General features: G+C 34.0%; 1 protein-coding gene across 15 annotated transcripts in view; it reads right to left on the bottom strand.

Annotated features, from left to right (window-relative positions):
• Positions 1–19,915, bottom strand: part of GABRG2 (gamma-aminobutyric acid type A receptor subunit gamma2) — an 88,075-nt gene that overhangs the window by 50,197 nt on the left and 17,963 nt on the right. For 10 of the 15 annotated variants that reach the window (NM_001375349.1, NM_001375344.1, NM_001375340.1 and 7 more), the window contains 5 exons: positions 11,364–11,515; positions 9,781–9,848; positions 7,485–7,705; positions 4,026–4,108; positions 1,317–1,454 (listed from right to left, as the gene is read on the bottom strand). In NM_001375349.1, the coding sequence (NP_001362278.1) occupies positions 1,317–1,454; positions 4,026–4,108; positions 7,485–7,705; positions 9,781–9,822 (484 nt within the window). In that variant the 5' untranslated portion in view covers positions 9,823–9,848; positions 11,364–11,515. Of the gene's footprint in view, positions 1–1,316; positions 1,455–2,669; positions 2,790–4,025; positions 4,109–7,484; positions 7,706–9,780; positions 9,849–11,363; positions 11,516–19,915 lie in introns of all 15 variants that reach the window. The other 5 variants (NM_001375343.1, NM_198903.2, NM_001375350.1 and 2 more) reach the window with 3 other exon arrangements.

The raw sequence follows: 19,915 nt of genomic DNA, 5'->3' as shown, positions 1-19,915 counted from the left end.
CCTTCTTTCAGATTCTTTTTTCCAAATAAAAGAACCTTTAGGAGACAGTTGCAAATGCTCAAAACAATGTTACAGCCAGATAATTCTTTGATTTGAAGGATGGTACTTTTGAAAGTAGAATCGAATCATAAATTTCCATCTTTGTGTAGGTCCTTTATTTGCTTCTCTCTGTAAAGTAGATGAAGGCCTGATTCCAAATTATTCCATACGCAAAAAATATTTCCTATGAATTCTAGAAAATAATCAGGTGTTTGTGACTAAATCAACAGCAAACACCTCAACTCTTGGAAATATGCTTCAAATGACATCTTAATAGATGGTAAGCTGAGAACACAATGTTTGTATTTGAAATTCGAACATATGTAAATTAACATAATTTTAAAAAGAGTAGTTGGATTAATCTACATAGAGGATATAAGCAACATTGCTGAGAGTTCAAACTGGCCACCCATGAGACAGAAACATATCTGGTCTGGAAACATATCTAACTTGCCCGACAGAGGGTTTTAAATCAACAATTGATAACTATTACAAATCATGAGATTTAATATAAAAATATTTACTTTTAGCTTGTCTTAAATCTCAATTCCTGACCATATTATCATGCACATCTGATAATCATAATTAATATTAGTAAGAGCTACTAATGACCAAGTGCTCACTATGTGCCAGCTATCATTCTAAGCATTTCATTTCATTTATATTTTGCATACACACTGTCTTCCTGTGATGCAATTTTTTTTAATGCACATTAGGTATCTGGAAAAGCTGATCTCAGAGATTCAATACATTTGCCCAATGTCTATAGCTTATAACTGATGCAATTGGAATTTGAACCCAATCCTGTCTGATACTCAAGGCTTGTTCTATTATCCACTGATGGATAAGATTAAAATATTAAACTACTGAATGGAGAATGGGTCCATATCCACTATGCTTACTTTTCTGCATTTGTAAAAAATTCACTCTTCCTGTGTGAAATGTGGCGATTTCACTACATTATGAAACATACTTTCTAAAACAGGTACATCTAATAAATATTTTATTTTTTCATAATTATATTCATTTTTCCTTAAATAAATTAGGGAATAATTTACTAATCCAATTTGAATCCAATTTTCCCATATTGGTAGAATATATTTATATTTATCTATTCTACTTGAATTTCAATTATAATTTTCTCTAGAAAGTTAAAACACTTCATTTAATTTTCTGATTATCATTCATTGAGAGGTATTGAAAAATCTTCTAATTCATATATACCAAAATTTCAACTCTGGAAGGGTCACTTGAAATTCTTTGCCAGTGCATCTTACCGGAAGTTGTCTTCACTACTTCGGTGGTATTTCTTAGACCAACAAATGAGAATTGATAAAGCCTCCAGGATCTTGTGTCGCCCACTTCAACAGAACTTCGCTTCCATTGATAAACAATTTCTTCACGTGGATAGCCATCTGCCGTGAGATAGGAAAGCTCACATTAAAAATGATTATAAATTAGCATATGTAGCAACCATCTTCTATGAACATGACACTGAGGTAAAGACTGAGAAAGATAGTTACAAGCTAAATGAGGATCTTGGACCAAAGGGCATTGCAATGAGAACATAAATTGCAATGACTTTGCATCCTAATGGGAAGTTAGATTCAAAAATCCAAAGGTCAAATTTACTCTTGAAAATAATTTAAATGACATAGAAGGTATACTACATGTGATTTTATATATGCCATATGCATACTTTACATCATCTGGAATAGTGCATACCAAGTGACCAGTCTATAATAAATAGTAGAAATACAAAGTCTTGTATCACAGTGAAAGGCAGTTAACAGAGCAAGATTTTGAGTCACATAGAAACAGAAAATAATAAGACAGTACAGACTCAAAACTTCTCCAAAGAATGCATTTGAAGTGGAAGATAGTTGGAAAACGTAACCTAAATTATTTATTATCTTTCTTTCTCAATTTGTTGGGACTCCATTTTAATATACACAGAAATACACAATTCAAAGCAGTAGTAAGTAGAAATGCTAAGAGGAAGATATCAATGAGCTTGTACTAATAGAACAGAGAGTATTCATTGAAGACATCACACTGGGGAGGTGAGATAAAGTAGTGGTTATGAGTACCATTTCCCAGCCATTCTACCCTGGACAAGTGTATATTTTTCCTCCTAAATTGTTTGTCCTCTTATAGGGAGGATAATAGTACTTATCTCACAGAATTGATGGTCAATGTATATTTGTTGAATGGATAAACATTATTATGAAGTCAACTGCAGAATTAACTTTTTCAAGAAAATAAATAAAAATCAGAAATCATTTTAACAGTTTGTCTACTAATAATACTAATTATTATGTGATAATAAATAATAATGCCATGTAAAGATTAGTTTGATTATGAACACTGATTGAGTACTTGGAATAAAATCCCACATAGTTCCCCCTTTCTGTTCCTTTTGATGCAGCTTTATCTATTATATGTTTATATTAATTAAAGAGGGAGGAAAAAAAAGAGAGAGTCCCTAGAAGGGATGGAGGGGATGGAGAGAGATATGATAGTATGTGATGAAAATTGAGGAAAACAGTGATAATATCCAGCTTGGGCAACATGGCGACGCCCCATCTCTACAAAAAATACAGAAATTAGCTGGGTATGGTGGTGCGTGCCTGAAATCCCAGCTACTCTGGAGGCCAAGGTGGGAGGATCAGTTGAGCCCCAGAAGCGAAGGCTGTAGTGAGCCGAGATCACACCACTGCACATTCCAGCCTGGGCAATAGAACGAGACCCTGTCCAAAACAAAACAAAACAAAACAACAACAACAACAACAAAAATGATGATATGAGGCAGAGAATGTGCTGGTGACTGAATTATTCTGATAGCAATGAGTAATATTAAATTGTGTTTGGGTTCAGAGGATCATTTTCAACTGGCCACCTGATGGCAGAGAAATCAACAGTTCTTGAATTTTAGCTGACGCAAGAAAGAAGTAGTCCCAATTGGAGTATTAAAAGAAAGGAAGGCTTATCTCTCTAAAGCACAGGGAAGCTTTAACTTTATAATTAAATATATTTCATTCTTGGATTCAGGAAAACATGAAATAAGTTTTATAATGAGAATTTTTCTAGGTAAATATGATGTCCAGTGATATTTTTCCTCTGGTTTCCTCTGGTATTGATGAAGTGATAAACAGGTGATTACTTCTCTGATCATCAACGTTTTTCAAACTGTGATTACTATGACTTGGTGGACTCCCTGGTTGAGAAATTACATTTCTACAAACATACTTTTAAAATCTATAATCAGATTTTTATTCTGTCCAATATGTACAACTGGCAGACAAAAAATGTAAAAGAAGCAATTGACCTTTCATGGATGCTGAACAAATAGTAAGGAAAATGTTTTGGGAAATTTAGGTTTGCTTGGCTTTGATTCAGGCAGGAAATATTTGTAAAGGTTACTAAAGCATAATCTGTGTTAGATCATCATGGATCCTCTTGCTACATTCTATTATCTATCTGATAAAAATAATAAATGTAAAAATAATGGTTTTATATTTGATCTTATGTGTGTCAAGTAGTAGTTCACATATATTTTATCAATGAAATAATTGTCCTGTGGGGCAGGCCTTAACTAGCAATGTGCTGCTATAGTCCCTTCCTAGGCCCATAGGAGAGAAAGGAAGAGGATATATAATTAAAGATTGCACCTTTTCTATTGAGTCCAGGGTTGGCTTTACAATCCCTTACAAAAAAAAAAAAGGCTCTATGCAACCAATATATTAAAAGTTTGCAACTCAAGGAAACCTATTGTAATTCTTAATAAAATCAGCCCTTCTTTTGCAGGAATCACCCTAATCGGAGCAAGCTGGGATTAAGATGAAAGAGATGGTCAAAATCATCGAAGTCAGTAACATAACTTAATACAACTTTGAAATTTGTTATGCTTCTTTCAATTAATTAACATGGCAATCAGAAAGACTGTAGGTGAGGGAGGATACAAATGGAGAAGGAATATTACTTACAACTGGAGAACTCCAAGGGGCAGGAGTGTTCATCCATTGGAAAGTTGTGCAATTGTAATTGGCACTCAGCATCAATTGTCAACCTAAGTAGAAAGATATTAAACATAAGATGGATTTTAGACATAATTTTAAATTGTAAATTTGCACAATTTTAAATGATTGTTTTTCTAGAGAATATCTCACATTCTGATTGAAAACACAGAGTGATCCCCAATGAAGAAATCCACCAAGTCCAGGAAAAAATTACATAAGACTTAATGTAGTCTGTTCATTTTCACAGACCAAATAATAGCACCTCACTTACCTCAACTATATTTATTGAAAATTTATGATCACTTAAGTTTTTGGTTTTGGTTTTTCTCTTTGCAAATTAATTGCTCAAGTGAAACCGCTCAGTGAATATATTTAACAGAGCCAACTGTTTTAAGAACTTAAGCTCGTTTACTGTTTGCTTGTAAATGAATGTTGATAATTCTAAGATCTTAACTGCTAATTAAAGCAGGACCTTCTGTTTGTAAGAACTTGTTAGCTGTTAGCTTTAATTGCTAAAGGTGAGTGTACAAATACCTGTGTTGCACAATGGTGTGGCATTAATTCTACACTACACTGTCACTAGGATCTTCCAGAAGATGTCATTAAATAGGATATTATAGAGTAGAAGAATATCTAATGGAAAACAAGAAATGTTAAAAGCACATACACAGACATATTTGAAAAATGTTTGCCAGTAAATCTTAATTAGTTTATGCCTTATTAGTTAGTTCTTATTAAAGTATACAGATTTTCTCAGTCTCAAGTCCTGGGCTGGAACTCCAGGAGGGAGAAGATTTGAAAGTCAAATGTCTTGACCACCTTTGGGTAAATATGAATATAATCTCAAATTGTAATGGTAATGGGTTGATGATTTTTAAAATTTCATATTTTTAGCTATATCTCTTACATTGTACAGATATTATTGATGTAAGGAAAGTATTATTTTAGGAAAATTTATTTTTAAGAGATTTTCTAATTAGTATAATTTTTAATTGAACAGAATTAAGAATCTATCATTCTATGATATAACGGAGCAATTACTGATGTTAAAATATATCTAATAATTATTGAGACCTTAATTAACTATGAAGCACTGGGTAGAGTGAATTGCTTCCTCATTTAATAAGTATTATTATGCATTTATTGTACCTGAACTTGTCCAAAGTCACATAACAAGAGGCACAGTTGAAATTTGGACCCAAGATTATCTACCTTCAAAGCTGGAGGTTTTAATCATTGTTACTATATATTTATATGCTCTTCAAAGGGAAGAATAGTTTTATTCATAAAGGAAGCTACAATTAAACTTGATATTTTATTAGTATTATTACTCCAAATTAAACTGGAATTATTAAAATTGAAAATAATATAATTGCAGATACAAACATAGATACAGATCTAAATGTCTTTGGGCATGCACAAAAACACACAAACACACTCATAGCTCATTTTAGATAGCCAGAACAAAATCATCTCTCTATGTAGACTGGTAACCATTCAAGCTTTGATTGAATCTCCATTAGTGACACTTTTGAGGTGGCTTTCATAACTAACTAATGTAATGATTCCATAAATTAAGTCCCAAAATGACTACAATGTTATAAGAACAATAAAGACACTTGAGATAGTATGATTGGCTTCATATTTCAAAAGCTGGACTGAGCTCTGATGTATCAGGCGAATTTTGTACCCACTAGATTCTACATTCAGGCATTGGCCAGATGCCATGGCTGTCGCCTATAATCCCCAGACTTTGGGAGGCTGAGTTGAGGACCGCTTGAACCTAGGAGTTCAAGACCACATGGGCAACATAGTAAGACTATCTCTACAAAAAAATACAAAAAAATTCTTAGCAGGGTGTAGTGGCACGTGCCTGTGGTCCCAGCTACTTGGGAGGCTGAGGTGGGAACATCACTTGAACCTCTGGGAGGTAGAGATTGCAGTGAGCCCAGATCATGCCACTGCACTCCAGCGGGTGACACAGTGAGACCCTGTCTCAAAATAAATAAATAAATAAATAAAAATAAACTCAGTCATTACTATATCTCTAAGTTTACAAAAGCCATGATAAATATAAAATGCCTGGAATGAATTTATTTTGGAATTGTGGCTTTTTCTAATAACTGATATAATTAATAAAGATTTTGGAGCCTATTCAAGTATTATATTTTGTATGTTGAGCAAGCACATTTAACATGAATCATTTGATATGAAGATTTAGAATTGCATTATTCTTATTTTGATTGAAAATGTATAAATAATTTTAATATTTTCTATATTTACTATATATCAGGCTCTATGTTAATCACTTTACTTATCACCCTATTTTGTCCTTATAGCAACTCCGTAAGGTCAGAAGAACTATATCTGTTTTATAGAAATTAAAGAAATGAAAGGTAAAAGAGTTTGCTCAGTTGTGATGTCAAGGTCGGGGGAGAGGCAGTACAGGGTGGGACAGCATGGTTGTGCTTTCTTTCCCAATAATTTCCATCAGTTCTCACTTAATTTTTCTAAATAAAAACATAACCATGTAAAAACATCATGCTTACTATGCAAACAAAGCTTCTAACACTAAAAGTCCTGCTACCAGATAGCTGCCCCTAAGTCCCTTTATATAGAAATGCTGGAGCGTTGCCCTAGTTCCTACAGATAGTAAGAGAGAGAGCTAAGAACCAAAGTCGGATGTCTGATTCGTAAGACTATGTACTTATCTATTATTCTGTCTAATAATGTATTCCCACCAATGAGAAAATTCAATGTAAAAATGTTTTAAATGCAAAGTATGAAGTGCTAAGGTAATGGCATAAAATAATTATTTTATTAAGGTAGCATTTTACTCTAATTTCACAATTTAATTTCAGAATTTAATTTCAGAGGCTGAACCATAGCTCCTTCAACTTTCTCCCATGTCTATTCCCAAGATAGACAACAAATTAATTTAAATAGCCTATTAACATAATGGGAAGTGGGGTGCCAGGAGATGAAAGATAATAGATTCTAGGTGCCTGCTATTGTGAAGCTAAAAAGAGAAGGATGTATGGAGACATACACCTCAAAAATTCTCTTTTAGCAACTATTTCCTTGGAAATGAAGATATTGCCAAGCATAAGAGTGCAAAGCGTAGGTGCAAAGGTCAGATGATCTTGCAAGACAAAGGAAATTTCAGGTCAGTTGTGACAAAAAATAGTTTTCACAGCAGTTGTGGAAAATAAGCTTTGCCTATAATTAGTGCTTTGAAAAAGCTCATTGATAACAAAAAGAAAAAACTAATGTTTTGATGTCATATACTAATTGATAGCATGCCAACCCTGATGCAGTCTTGAAATTTATTTCCTTTTTTTTTTTTCTTTTAGAGACTTAAGGTTGATTTTTGTGTTTGTTTGTTTTCTTCCTAACAATTACTCCTTTCCTTTTGCAAAAGAATACCTTAGGGTGTAGAGCACTCGACCATCATTCCAAATTCTCAGCATCCTGTTGGGGGTGGTGATCCAGTGTGCATCAGCTTTTTTGGAATTTCTGAAGAAAGTGTCTGGAATCCAGATTTTCCCCACCATGTTGCTGTTCAATCGGAGGACTTTAATGGTGCTGTTAAATTTCAAACGTCTGTCATACCACGTTTGCGCAAAAAATATATCAATAGTGTATTCCTGTTTTAATAAAATGATAAACAGAAAATTTGTACACAGTAAGATTATCTTTTTAAATATTGGTATATTTCATTCCTGTTTTCTTTGCCAATATGAAGCAAAGCTATCTTGGCTTTGAATAGTTCAAAAGAAAGCTAGAGTTTTGCTGAGGAGGTTACTGTCTCACCCATCTTTTGTAGCTATGTTTGATACTTTTATGAAAAAGTAGATCTGTCTAAGTGAGTTCTGGCAAAAGAGGATAGCCTTGATACAATCCTTTACTTTCCATGTCTATAGAGCAGAGCATTGTGTTGTTTTGAGCCAGCTAGTTTCTTGCCATGAGGGCTGTCCCGGGCATTGTGGGATGTTTAGAACCATCCCTGGCCTCTACTCATTAGATGACAGTAGCAAACCCCAAACCCATACTCAATCCTGCCAAGTAATGACAACTAAAATTGCCTCCAGACACAGTCAAACATCCCCTGAGAGGGAAAAAGAAGTTCAGATTCAGAACCACCACTGTAGAGTGAAACAAAGTACAGAATATGCAAAAAAGTCATAAGCAGGAGATCTGGAAAGTCAGTTGGCCTATATTAAAATAGGGATCATGAAGAATCTAACTGGGTAGGCCGTGTTAGGATAGAAAAGGGCAATCAACAAAAGGTGCTTTGCATCATGCCTGGCAGAGAACAAACCCCCAAGAAGAGGGTTTTTTTCACTATTTACTTACACTATTTACTTGTTCTTTTCTCTAAACAAGATGAAATTAACAATTAAAAATAATTTATAATACTCTGTTAATCTCTATCATAAAATGCATTCTTAAATGCTATAGTGACAAATTACTGTAATTATTTCCATCAAGTATACATATCACTAAACTGGAGAGCGGTTGACTTCAGTAAAAAAAAAAAAGCAGATATGGTGTGAAATTCAGACCATTAGGCCTGAGTCTTTTGCCTCAATCACATTGTTCTGTTTTCTTTCCTTGCACCACCTCCCACTGGGTGTCACTGTGATTAGCTACATTTCTACCCTGTAAGTCATTCCACCCTTGTTCATCATTTAGTTTCATTTTTACAGTCTACAAGTAATGAGAAAAGAACCTGTTTTACGAAATCCTTTGTCAACCAATTAGTGATGTGCCAGTAGAAATAAAAATTAATTAATTTATATTCTACATTTTGGCAAGAAAAGCCATGAATAAAAAACTTTGATTCTTAAAACTATTATTTCACAAACTTTGATCCTAGAACAGTTCTGGGGACTGTTATTCCTAAAACAAGAAAGTTCTGCATTTAAATAAACTATCTATATAGCCTCTACTTCTTAGATATTTAGAATTTATTTCAGAACTCTAAATATTCTGAGAATTATGGTTATAAAGAAGTTAGAATTTGTTTAATGACTAAACAAGCAAACTTATTAGCTTGGAGTATGCAGGTGATGATATATCACCTCGATTGGCACATCAATCTCTCACTTAGCAGAGCATCTTTATTGCTAGCTTGGTAAACATGATTTTAAACTTATAGTTTTACTATATCATATATAATATTGTATAATATAGAATACTATATTACCTTATGTTATGTTGTACTCCATTCTGCTCTACTCTATTTTACATTCTCTATTATATCATATTTTGGACTCCAGTCTAGTTTTGTATTTCACATTTGGGTAGAAAGTGTTACATAAGAACAGAATTACATTTATTATTACATCTGACACACTATTTTATCTGAGAAACATTTCTGATTTGAACCAAACTATCAATGTTCTAATAAGTAGTTGAGTACTATATCCTATTTTGTAGTAAGTAGCACTTGGCAAGTAAACACCGATTGTTGAATTTCAACAGCATAGCATATTTACACAAATTAATTATATATATGGTCCCATTTAATTCTCATAAAAATACTTAACATTTAATTATCTTCATATTACAAGAAAAAAAGGATCTGGAAGACTATCTTTCACTTCTAAAGTTTTAAACTTAAATTTTTTGCTGGCATGTCTTTTGCTATTTCCATGACATCACATTTTCTCTCAAACATGCTAATAAAACAGACAAAGAATTTTATTTGGAAACTCACCATATTGATAGCGTTCACTGGACCAATGCTATTCACATACATGTCTGTGTGAATTAACGTTGGCTTCACTGTAAAGAGAAACATAGAAATGTGTGCACATAGAGAGGTGCAAGATTTTAATGTTTTAATCTTTGTTTTCTAGAATAGATTTATTTAGCTACATTAGAAGTAATTTATTCACAACTAATTTGGTACCAGTTACTAATTCACCACATTTGAATAACTATTTTGTTTTCAAAGAAATATCTTTCTTAAGTATGCACATGCACCAAGCACGCATAGTAGAGTTTTGAAACCAATTATCCTTTTAAAACTAACATAAAAATGAATAAATTAGAAAATGCTGCTCTTAGCTTTTCTCCATCTTTCTCTCAGATATCTTGAATTTTACCATGTTTCCTTCAAGCTCTGAAATTGACTTGAGCATGTCCCTGACTGGACCCATATAGAAAAATAATTGCTTAATAACTCAGAAAAAAATATGCATTCAGAACATGAAGTGGACATAAACAGCAAACTGGTAATATAAATTGGTTTTGGATCACAGTTCCCTGTTGATTCCTTTAATGACCACATTATCCTCACACTCCTCTCACCAACACAAAATTAATCTTCCCTGATGATTTATTGTACCCTGTGATACCACAGATAATATGAGAAAACCATATGGAAACCCATTATGTACCTATTTTTCAGAGAAGACTGATATTAAAAATCTGTAGTATAATATCCATGACCAAATGCATGGTCTCCATCTTTATTTAACTCTTAATGAACAACAAGAGCATTAGTCTTTTCTTTATTTTTTTCCTTGAAAGTGTCATGTCCTAACTCACTGTGGTGGACTGAATTCTCTATAACCGGCATTCACATCCTTGCCTTCTCCTGGATAAGGCTATTCCTCTGCCTCTCGACTTTGGGCTGGATCATCTGATTGGCTTCGGCTAATAATATATATACAAAAGCGAGTGTGCCAGTGCTAGGCCTAAGCATTCAGCCTCATGAGCTTCTACTTACTCTCTGGCTGTTTTCTACCACTGTGAGAAGGGTTGTCCTAGCTACCTGCTGGTCCCAAGAGTAGAACGAGGAACACGTAAAGTACAGTTGCCCTAAATAAGCAGCTCCAGCTTGCTTTAGCATAGATTAGTATATCTCTGAGGGGAGTATTATATACATGTTTACTGTCATATGTCATTGAGATTTTCTGGTTGTTTGTTACACAAAAACAGGCAAACAATATATCCTCTCTTTACTGTTATTGTCTTGTTTGATTTGTTTATGTTGCTTCATAAAGGGGTCATTGTTTTTTTTTTCCTACAGCTTCTATCTGAGATATCTAGCAATATGTGAATTTCTAACTCTAGCTCTCAAGCTTCACTTGAAAATAATATTTCTTCATTTTGAATGTATTGACACCTCTCCCACTCATAGGCCTGAATGCTATTTAAACACTACTTTTACAACATATAAAAAAGTATAATTTAAATCTTCCTTGCTCTTGAACTACACTGATGTTTTATCTATTAAAGTAGACATGTTTATGTGCTCCTATCTATAGCACAACGCAAAAGACTTTAACAAACCTCCTATATCAGGCCGAAGTTTATTGTCATATCCTTCCAGCAGGTTGTTTAAGATGACAGTGACATCACCCTCAGGAACTTTTGGAGTCAAGACCCATGTTTTGTTAGAAGCATAATCTTCATAGTCATCATCAGATTTCTGGCTAGTGAAGCTAAGAAAAAACATATTGGTCAAAAAACACATAGATTACACACAAGTTGACTTTTATCCACAGACCACCAGTGGAAAAGAAGAAATAAAACAGGATAAAAGAAATGTTTAAACTGAAAATTCTCCCTTGAGGGTTGTGCTAATTAAACTGCATAGATGGAGACTAACTGTATTCAAGTGTACGCTTCAGGTTTTCAGAATTCTTTGCCCTCCCATGGACAAATAAACCATGTTTTGCCAGTTATTTTTACTTTTCCCATATTTGATGTTCTTTCTGCCTACTTCCCAGTCTCCTGAAGGAATTATAAGAAAACTATTTGTGTGAAAATGGAGGTTAAAGGATCATATGTAGTCTAAGAATTCAGGTATAATGTCTGCTCTTTCCTTCTTTGAGGAGTTCACTTGCCCCAACTTATTAATGAAAGTAAGAGACTGATAATTAGATTCCCTCCCACAAACTGCCAGACATGCCTCTCCCCGCTAACTTGAACACTAAGGAGAGAGCTCAATCTCTTTGCTTTTGCTTCCCCCAGGGTGTGTTTATGTGTATTTTTTCCCCTCACTTGCACTGAAGGCAAAGGTGGATCATTTATCTTTGGTTGTTAAGAACCTGGTACTATGAAGAAAAATGTTACAGACTTTAAACCACCCTTTATCATGGCAAATGCAATAGTTAATGTGCTATAATCATAGAAATGAAATGACTTGTTATAACTGATCAAAAAGCCACATAATATTCTTTCATTATATTCACTATGCCCAAACCTATCAGAAACCCTTTCAGCAATTGGGCTGGAAGCCACCTGAGAATGACTCTGGAAGGGGACTGGAATTCCTATAGCTTACCTCTCCCCCTAACCCAAGTCCCAAGGCAACCCCGCCAAGATGATGATATTTTCCAGATCCAGGGGCAACACACACACCCGTGCAAAAGCTGCCATTTCCATTTTTATCAACACTGAATGAATATTGGTTACTTTTGTAGTTTAGAGTAAAATTTTTTAAAAATGCAAACTTAAAATATAACATTTCCCACCCCTGCCCCCATCTTTACCTTATTTTTCTAAACATATAGTATAGAATGAATTTTGTCAGCTATGACATAATTGCCACACTTACCTTGAATAAATAAATGTATATATTCATATATTCTCAAGCCAGATTTATCACCTTTCTTCATTCATACTCGGTCATCAAGTATATATACATGTACAATGTAGTTAAATATACATACCTGTGTGTGTATGTATGTGTGTACACATGAATGCACATATGTTTTATGTACATCATATATATAGATCTTGATGACTAAATATTGCAGAAGATGATTATGTAATTAATCTGGTTTGAGAATAAGGATAGAGGATGAAGTCTTAAGAGTAATTATTGTCATGGGTCAACTTAATGATTACAGTAACCTCTTTTTTCATTCCTTTAAAGCTGTATGACTAGGAAACATCACAAAAATACATCTGCAAAAGGCCTAACATACCCAGTGTCTTACATCTTGCACTTTAGTGAGCATAGGAAGTTTAAAGGAGCATTAATTTCACAGAGTGCCCATAGTGGGTATAATGGGCTGGGCAATGGTTCTGTCAGCTCTCAGAGAGAAAAGCCTCCACGCAAGCAGAGGCCAGTGTGCTGCCAGAAAAAAAATCCCTCTTGGGCTTCAATTCATCATTTCTCCAGAGCACTGCTAAACTCTGCCTAATAGAGCTTTAATCCTCTGACCCAAATCTTACTGGTTTAGGGAAAGAAAATAAAAAAGCTCTCTGGTAAAGTAATTTTCAAATCCCTCCAATAACTCATGAGAAAAGGATATGGTAGGTTCGTCAGATGCCATAATAGAATATATTACGGTTTAAATTGTTCTTGCAAAAGTGCCTTTTCAAAAAATCTCTCTCTCTCTCTTTCTCTTTCTCTCTCAAGACACATGCACCCTATTAAATTTTCTTCAAGAAAAGGGAATATGTACTAAATTGCTTAGTTTGTTTGTTTATGGCACCTCCTTATGCCAACAAATAAATGAGTCAAGTATAATGGTGCTGTATTACCGTTATTACTATTATCTGGCAGACCAGGAGGGAAAATACATAAAGTGAAAAGATAAGGGATACTTTTTTAGAAGTAAGACTAATTTCCAGAATTGCTCCAACAATTCCCTCAGAGTCATCACCTAGTTTTTTTTTCACACTTCAGGAGTCTACTTAGCCATCCAGAGGTAAAATAGAGTACTTAAGAGTACCTGTTTGGGAATCAGGAAATGCTAGTTCTGCTTTCTGGATTTGTGGCTTGCCTGGAACTTACTGTTAACAACTTTGGGGAAGTTATTTAACCCTGATAAGTCTCAAAGTTTTCATCTTATAATAGGCTTAATATTAGTTCTCATATTACATTCCCGTGTAAGGTTAAGACAATGCTTAAGTGCTTAGCACAGTGCCTAACACGCAGTACTGAAAATAAGTCCATGACAATTATTATATTATTAATTAATCAATAGCAAAATTCCTTAATAATGGAACAAATATTATTATAAATATTATATTAATCATTTTATAAAGTGACCACTGATAGATTTATAACACCAGCTTCAAACATGTAACAAAAACCTACATCTATGTATGCTGCTTCAAGACTTTTAATGCAATATGGGCTGAGGAGAACTAAAAACAAATGTTTTTCAGGAAGAAAAATAATGGCCATCTACATTATAAATAAATGAACTTTTTCTTCTCCTAAGCTTTTCTAGCTGAGGTCTAAATTAAAGGAGCTGATGCATAACCTGGGACTGTTTCCAGATTTGTCTTTAAAAAAAGGAACTTCTTTTATTAAAGCTACGCTGTTTCTTTCTCTAGAGTGCTTTGGACATAAAAACCTCTGCATTCACAGATAGGCTATCTAGGAATAATGAAGTCTTACCATTAGATGAAACATTCTATGGAACTGTAGACTCCATAAGAATGTCTGGGCAGAAACAGATTGATAATGATTTGAAGAATTCACTCAACAGTTGAGTGGATAGAGAGCAAACATATTTGAACTTCTGGCTAAAGGTACCTATCTACATGGAATGGCCTTTAGAAGTTATTACTCCTCCTGGTACCATATAATTAAAAATACTTTCTTACAGAGGAAAATAACTGAAATTAAACTTATCCTTCAATTAACTAACCATAATAAAAACATTTTTGTCATCTGAGTGATAGTTTCTGAGTGATAGTGTCAGAAAAGAATGTGAAGTTTTCGTCTTTGTAAATATTCATGGTTAGAAAATCACCTTAGTGAGAGCCTGGGGCCACAGCAGCAACATTGCATGGGAGCTTGCCAGAAATGCAGAGCTCTGGGACCCACCCAGACCCCGGAATCAGAATTGCTATTTTAACAAGTTTCACAAATGATTCATATACATATTAATATTTGAGGATCTCAGTTATAGAGTGGTTAGACCAGTGGCACATATTCCTGGTCCTGTATGTATGTGTATGTGTATGTGTATGTGTATGGTATGTGTATGTGTATGTGTATGTCTATGTGTATATGTACGTGTAAGTGTACGTGTACGTGTACGTGTATGTGTATGTGTTGGGATGGGTTTTTTTTAAATAAAAATTCTCACGTTCCTGCTTTAGATCTAAATCTGAATCTCCATGTTGTATATTAGATTATTCACTTTTATTCTCATCATTACAGTTTTATGCATAATTTGAATTTAGGCATGATTACAAACAGGAATTCACACTTGTAATTAGAAGTAAAAATCAATCTTATTTAGAAGGATAAAAGTGGCTTATAAAACACAACAAATACTGCATAGAGACTGTTCAATGAGAGGTTGCTCACAATTTTAACAAGATTGTAGACATTTTAATTTTGGTACATATTCTGGATATTTGCCATTGTGAAGATTAGTCATGCAGTTTCTGGAATTTTAAATTTCCACCTAGGTATTTCAGATTTCGATATATTTAATAAAGCTCTAAGTTTAGGGGTAGAGGAGGAAAATCTAGTCATTGCCCAGGATAGTAGAACAGCAAATATTTGGATGAGAAATAAAGGCATTTGTCTGTTTGTTCAGGTGTCCTTAAATCTATTGATGTTTGACATAATAAAGACTGAATATATATTTATCCTTCTCTAACACAGGTAAGTAGTTGGATTTTAAAAATTAATTATTTGTGTTTTTAAACTATTTTTATATTTTTAATGTTTCCTTTCATAACATTGGTGTCACTAATATTTTCTTGGTACAATTTTTGGTTTACTTTTTTATAAGTGCAATGAGTTCATATGCAAAGTATTTTATACGTCAAAATAAATCTATCAAGACATACATGCGGGAAAATGATATCTTTGACCTTTTCTAATAAAAATTCCCATGCATTGGATTTTCTGCTCCATTGTCACCTCTAAATTGTGAATATACACTACTTACATCTCATAAATATTCCTTCCTTTACCACATGCACAGGGACTCACTGCTACTCTAGATTCTCACAAGGCTGTAGGGTCCACTGGGAATCCCATGCCCCAAAAGTATCATTAATACAGGAATTTCTTGTTCCGTACATCATCATGTTACCCGAGAATTAATTAAGTTCTGGAAATCAGGCCAAACTCCAGAACCTTTGCATGTAACTGTCCTTTCTGCCTTCAACCTTTCCTCTGCTCCACTCCTCAATCTACTAATTAGCATGTTTCAATACAAACATCCCATCGTAGAGACCATTTCTGACTATCTTATCTACATTTGTTGCCCACTCACCCATCACATGTTCTACCAAGAGATTGTTTCATAGAATTTATCACAATATGCATTTGTTGACTTCTCTATTGTCTGTCTTCATTACTAAACTATAAATTTCATGAGTATGTGCTCAATGAAGATTTGTGGGAATAATTTTTTGCTCACCAGTTTTCCTCGGAGAAGTCATAATATTAAAAATATTCGCTATGTTCTAGGTATAACTTTAAAGATTTCACATACATTCTCTCACTTAATCCTCAAAACACTGATATTCCCATAATTATTCCTGTTTTACAGATAAAGAAGCACTGTTACAATCATAATAGTCACTTTAGTTGGCCAAAACTAAACATTTAACCATTATTCTTCACGGCTTTGAGAAAGAAATTAGGACCAAAGAATCTACAGCTATACATGCATTAAACAATAAGATCATCCAAAATAAATGATTGTTCCAGCTCATTTTCCCTTAGGACAATAAATTAATTTATGCCTGAGTCCAATAAAAGACATGATGCCTTTAGCACAAGGTTAATAACATTCAGGTTTCATAAACTTGCCACTGCAGATACAAATGATTTGATCTCCCCACACTGAAGAATAAAAGGAAAGCTTGCAATTTAACGTAATGGATGTGATCATCTGCCTCATTTAAACTCTTCCCTCTGTTTGGACAGCAATGTATATAACAGAGACAAGGCACACATATAAGCTAGTTCAATTTAAAGGATGTCCTTCAGCCACTGCAAAAGGTGGGCTTTGGTAAACAGTGTAGGAACAGGCAGAGTAGGTGAGTGTACATCCTCAGAAGGCAAAGGGAACTCAGTATATGATCATGGGAAGGGGGACTCCACTCAGTACTATCCAGGAGGACTGGCTACTCTTTAGAGACATAGTGGTGTTCAATGGATGGGGCCATTGGGGCGCTAGTTGCTCCTTCATATAGGTCCTTCAATGGCCTGTGGGATTTTATTCCTCCCAGTAAGGACATGCAAATTCTCTATGCAGAACCTGTTCAGAGGGTGCTCTATGCATGAGTGTGCACATGTGAGTGTATACATGCAAACAGGGTAGAATTAGAGCAGGAAAGTAAACCATTCTGCTAACAAATTGTCCTACTTAAAATTACTTTCTCACCTCACATCCTGTTTAATTTTTTTTGATATTAGGCTAACAGCTGTTGGTGTGTTTGGCTGAATCAATTAACAGACACTTAGTTTGCAATATATAAAATGCAAATTGTTTACTTTATTAACAGCCACAAATGATGCATATCAAATAAATGTCTGTGGGATTTTATTAGCTAAGATGAATTCAATTGTAAGTATCACAACATTCAAACTAAATTGGGAGACACTGACAGATATAATTGTAAATCCTAAGGTAAGATGAGCTTCTGGGAGTTTCGACTCAGTTCCTTAACTACGTATTCAAAATCTTAGAATTTTTTCTATCTCTCTCTTCTATCCTCCATGGCATTGACTTCAACCCAAAGAAGTATCTATGTGGTCACAAGATTCTGGCAACAACTTTTCCCTTCTATGCTTCTTTGTATGTATCCACAAAAACAGAAAGATAAACTTTTCCAAAAGCTCTCTCTAAAAGAGGAAAATAGCCACTTTTCTAAAAGCCCCCCAAAAGCCTCCTGTTTTCTAATATCACTAGCCTAAATGAGATCAGCCACATGAAACTGATATCAGTGGCTAGAGAATGAGAAAATGATAAATATTTAACCTTCATTATATAAACCTACCACTAGCATAAAATATGAAAACAGCTTCCCCAAAAGCGCATGAGCTTCACAGATACCAAATTAAAATTATGTTAGTTCAGAAGGTGAGGAGGGAAAACGTGGAGAGGCAGTGACGATGCTCATTGTGGGGAACAGAACAGAAAAAAATAATCAATGTCAGGTTATGTTCTGAAATTATCATTAGAGTCCATTTTCTATGGATTACACCTCCCTATCATAGTTTATTGTTTTTATTCTTTGCTTCAACCCTTCTTAAATAAAAGGGAAAAGAAGTAGAGAAACTAGGACTCTATACTGCTGGAGGGAAAATATTTTGGCATTATCTGCTAATAATGAACATTTTCTGTACTCTATAACCCAGAAATTTAATCTATTGATTATTTCCAAAAGAAAATGCATTCACACGTCTACTTAAAGACATGTACAAGAAAGTACACGGTTGCATTATTTGTCACATACAGGAAAAAATAGAACTCAAGTCAACAGTAAAATTGATAAATAAAATATGGCTTATGCACATAATGAAATATTGTACAACAGTTCAAATTTGTGAAATATTGCTACATGCAGCAAAATAAATTTGAAAAATAAAAATCTGAGCAAAAGATGTCTAGACATTATATACATGGGCAAATATGTAACACTTCTGTTACATAAAATTTAATGACAAGAAAAATTATCTGTAGTGCTCAAAGTTAGGACAGCAGTTATTTGAGGTAAGAGAAAGAGGACAGAAACTAGGAAAGAAAGAAGACGTTTTCTGGGACATTGGCAATATTTTATTTTCAGACACATTTTGCAATTACATGGGTTTTTATTTCAATTTTTGATAATGCATTGAGTTATATTTTAATCTTATATGCTTTTTATAACATTAATACTTCATAAGAAAACAAACTAATCAAGTTTAGCTATGGAGGTTAAAAGCAGAGCATTAAGCATCTAAGGACAAGAACTGCTTCTGTCTTCAAAGGTGTTGTTTTCTAAAACTTTGTAAGTGTTGGGCATTTGGCAAGACACCCGATGAATAGTTTTCAAAATATGAGTATGAATTTTTTAAAAGAAGATTCAATATTTGTGGAAATTAACTTAGTAAGTGGCTCACTCTCTTTCTATATGTGCCCATGTAACAATTACAGTTAATACTAAAAGGAGCTGCCTATGTAACATGCTATTGTATGGTTGCCATTGCTCTCTTCAAGTGCTGATGATTCTCTGCATGGGAAAACTCAAATGACATGTATTTAAAATATTTTTTAGACCATAATGAAACAAAGCATGCACGAGTATGTTTATTGTAGCACTATTCACAATGGCAAAGACATGGAATCAACCTAAATGCCCATCAGTGATAGACTGGATAAAAAAAAAAATGTGGTACGTATACACCATGGAATAGTATGCAGCCATAAAAAAACAATGAGATCATGTCCTTTGCAGGGACATGAATGGAGCTGGAGACCACTATCCTTATCAAACTAACACAGGAACAGAAAACCAAATACCGCATATTCTTACTTATAAGTGGGAGCTAAACAATGAGGACACATGGACAAATAGAGAGGAGCAACACACACTGGGGCCTTTCAGAGAGTGAAGGGTAGGAGGAGGGAGAGGATCAGGAAAAATAACTGATGGGCACCAAGCTTAATACCTGTGTGATGAAATAATCTGTACAACAAACCCCCATAACACAAGTTTACCTATATAAGAAACCTGCATTTGTATCACTGAACTCAAAATAAATGTAAAAAAAAAAAGTAAAAAAAAAAAGAAGAAAAAAAAGTACTAAAAAAAAAGAAACAAAGCAAGCCAAGGTTAACACAAGAACAAATCCTAAAGTCATGTCAACTGTCCATGGATGCTGGGTAGGATAGAAAGAAAAATATGCATGTTAAATTGTG

The sequence above is a fragment of the Homo sapiens genome, chromosome 5 (genome assembly GCF_000001405.40).
Source record: "Homo sapiens chromosome 5, GRCh38.p14 Primary Assembly".
Taxonomy (NCBI): Eukaryota; Metazoa; Chordata; class Mammalia; order Primates; family Hominidae; genus Homo; species Homo sapiens.
This window is presented reverse-complemented; position numbering and strand designations above follow the sequence as displayed.